The sequence below is a fragment of the Homo sapiens genome, chromosome Y, assembly GCF_000001405.40.
Source record: "Homo sapiens chromosome Y, GRCh38.p14 Primary Assembly".
Lineage (NCBI taxonomy): Eukaryota > Metazoa > Chordata > Mammalia > Primates > Hominidae > Homo > Homo sapiens.
The window spans coordinates 6,672,884-6,677,033 of NC_000024.10; positions in this window are offsets into that span (position 1 = coordinate 6,672,884).

Sequence of the window (4,150 nt, forward strand, 5' to 3'; positions counted from 1 at the left end):
CATAGGCAATGGAAGCAAAAGTAGTTGGGATTGCATCAAACTAAAAGCTTCTAGACAGGAAAAGAAATAATAAAAAGAATGAAAAGGCAACCTACAGAATAGAAGAAAATGTTTGCAAACAGTGTATATGACAAAGAGCTAATGTGTGAAATATACAAATCATTCACGTGTGTATGTACTTTTTTCAAAACAAATTAATAGCAATTCAATAGAAAAAATAAAGAAAAAATAAATATTAAAAAGTAGACAAAAGCCTTGTATGACATTTTTTTTCCAAAAAAATATACAAATGGCTAACAGAGATATAATAAAGAGGCTCCACAACACTACTCATTAGGAAAATGCACTTAAAACCCTAATGGAATATGATCTCAGACCTGTTAGAGTGGCTGTTACAAAATGATAAAAGATTGTGAAGATAAGATAAAAATCCCCTTATGCTTCTAACAGAAAGAGGGAAAAGTAATCATTTTGAAATATGCCTGAGTATTTTATTCTCCTCAACAAAGATGTATTAGTCAGAATTATCCAGAGAAATAGAACCAATATGCAGAGAGAGAGAGAGAGAGAGAGAGAGAGAGAGAGAAGAGAAAATTTATCATAGGAATTGGCTCACATAATTATAGAGGCCAAAATGTTTCATAACATGCTGTCTGCCAGCTGGAGAACCAGGAAAGCCATTGGCGTAATTCAATCCCAATGGCCTGAGGAGCAAGAGTGACAGTGGTGTCATCCAATCTGAGGCCAAAGGCCTGAGAACTGGGGGTAGGGTTGTACTAGCTTAAGTCTTAGAGTCTGCAGGCTGAGGAATCAGCACCTCTCATGTCTAAGGGAAGAAGGTGGATGTCACAGGTCAAGAAAAGAGAAGATGAAATTTGCTCTGAGTTTTTGTTATATCTGGGCCTTCAACAGATGGCATAATGCCTGCCCACACTGGTGAAGGTGGACCATTTTTACTTAGTCTCCTGATTCAATGCTAATCATTTTGAGAAACACAGAGAAAAAATGTTTTATCAGCTTTTGGGCATCCCTTTGTCCAGTCAAGTTGACACCTACACTTAACCATCACCAGACCATCCCTTTTGAACTTGCTACTCATATGCATCTCCTTAAACGATAATCTACAAATAAAGACAAGGAGAAGCTAATGATTCTGCCTAATATGATATAACTAACCTGTATACAACTGAAAATACACTACTACCGTCTTCAGAAAAAGTAGTCTTTAAGTGATGTTCAGTCTTCACCTGATTCCCTGTAACTTAATATGATGTAAAACTAAAACTTCTTAAAAACAGATTTAAAATAATGCATCTTATGTTACATGATAAGGAAATAAGAGAAGAAAGAAAACAAAGATAGATAATTAATACATGTATATAAATACACATGTATTTATAACATAAGAAGGAAATACTCATGACAGTTACAGTTTTCTGTTCTGTAACTGGTCATGTCATCATAGCTAGTATTTATCATTACCTTCTCCCACTCATTCTGTGTACATTTGCCTTCAGGAAGATCCTTAGCTGATTATAGTTCTTTCTTTAACTGGTGTGGTAATCACAACTTTTATTCCTGAAAGGTCTGGACCTTTATTTGTCTTCCCTGGATTGGGTTGTTAGAGCTCGCCATTGACATTAATCACAAGGCATGGTAATATTAAGACAAGACCTAAATGAGCTCTTGTATTCCGGACATACTCTTATTTACTTCCATTGTAGAGTGGTAGTCTAATTTTCCACTGGTAGTCCGTATCAATCATCTCTGCCAATTCTGTAACTCTTTTCTTGAACTATTTACTCTAAGACATAAGGAGCCCAAATTAGCTAGGTGGCAGTCTTAACTTTTTATAGTTCAATAAAATTATTGTTATACTCTAGGCCAGCAGAGTATAAAGCCCTGGGATCAGGAAGAAACATTTTGCTAGTGTGTCACACGGGATAATAGTGAGTGGTGCCACTCCCATTTTTATCCCTTAATTCCTGGACCTATTAATCCTAGCTATAGGAGGAACAGTACTATATGTTGGATGCTGATTCAAAGCACATATGGCAATCTGGAAAACCCTGCCCCACTCCTATAAGGTATTTTCACCTACCTGGTGCTGTAACAGAGTCTTCAAAAGGCAATTCCACATTCTATCAAGGCAGCTGCTTTAGGATAGTGTGGAACATGGTAAGACCAGTGAATTCCATAAGTATCAGCCCATTGCCACACTTTTTTAGCTGTGAAGTGATTTCCTTGTTTAAAAGCAACACAGTGTATAATACTATGACAGTGGATAAGGCATACTGTAAGTCCATGGATGATAGTTTTAACAGAAGCATTTCATGCAGGAAAGGTAAGAGTCAGTGTCTATTCTAATAAGGATAAAACAATGTCTCTCTTATGATAGAAGTGATATAATGTAACCAACTTGCCAACAAGTAGCTGGATGATCACCCTGGAAAGTGGTGCCATACTGGGGACAGAGTGTTGCTCTCTGCTACTCACATATTGGGCACTCAGTGGTGGCTATAGCCCAGTCGGCCTTGCGAGGTGAAAGTCCACATTGCTGAGCACATTCATAACTTCTACCCCTATTACTATGGCCACGTTATTCATGAGTCCATTATGCAATGACAGAAGTGGCTGGAGATATAGGATGACTGGATTCCGCAGAAAAGATAATTCTATCCACTTAACTATTAAAATCCTCCTCTGATGTGGCCACTCTTTTTTGAGCATTCACATAGGACACAAATATCTTCACTTTTTTTTCCCATTCAGAGTGGTCTATCCACATCCTTCATCCCAAAATTTCTTTGTTACCAATTGGCAAATCATGCGCTTTCAAATCTCTGACCATCCAACCAAATCATTGATGACAGCCCAGAAGTTGGTATATAATTGCTCATCTAGTCTTTTCTCTTTCCAAGCAAAGCACATAACCAGGTTCAGTGCCCAAAATTATTTATATTGGAAGGACTTACCTTCATCACTATCTATCAGGGACGTCCTAGAGAGAGGCTGCGGTGCTTCAGCTGCCCACTCTCAGGTAGTGCCTTGAGTTTGGTGCAGAACCATTTATAAATCAAGCTCAATTTTTCTCTTACTCTGTCAATTGATCATAGAAAATTCCCATGAGGCCATAGGTGCAGGCTGGGAGAGAGATGACAGTGTAGTAGGAGTGGAAGCCATGGGCATTTGAACAGTTTTTTTGTTTTAATTGGGGAAATGTAGCCTCTGAGGAAATCCGAAAGTATACATTCCCTTTATTTTGTCAATTTTGTTTTAGGCCACTTCATGTAACATACTTGGGCCTGCTTGGGCCTAAGTATGCATATGCCACTTCTACTTGATGATGTAGTGCTTTTGTACATGCCAGATTTTATGGCTGGATTGATCATGTGATGCCAAGTTCAAGATAAGTAGCTCAGTTCACATGGTAACTTGGTGACCTATGTTCAAGCATTTAGTTCTATAAAGGCCCCATAGTAGGCCAAGGGCTGTATCTCAGAGGGAGAATAGATATCCTCATATAATGACAGGGCTAGTCTCTAAGATCCTGAAGACCTGCTCTGTTGTTCACCTATAGGGGCTTGCTAGAGCCTCCAAAGAACATCCCTATCTGCCACTGAAACTTCAAGCACCTTGAGATCTGCTGGATCATATGGCCCATGTGGCAGAGCAGCTTGCACAGCAGCCTGCCTCTTGCAGAGGTTTTTCTTATTTTGAGGACCATTTAAAACTAGCATATTTTTAGGTCACTCTTTGTAACATACCCAAATGTGAAATATGCTGCCTCCAAAATCTAACTATATTCACTAGATATTGTGCCCCTTTTTTGGATGTAGGAGGAGCCAGATGCAACAATTTATCCTTCATCTTGGATGAAATATTACATGTCCCACATCACTTGTTCCCTAGAAATTTCACTGAGGTAGAAGATCCTTTAATTTAGTTATATTTATTTCCCACCCTCTCATGGGCAAATGTCTTACCAGTAAGTCTAGAGTATATATATTTATATATTTATATAGGTATATATTAATATATGCATATATTATTTATATACATATTATTTATATATTATACATTATATTATATATGTTTATACTATATACATACTCAGGATTGTATGTGTGTATATATATACATTATATAT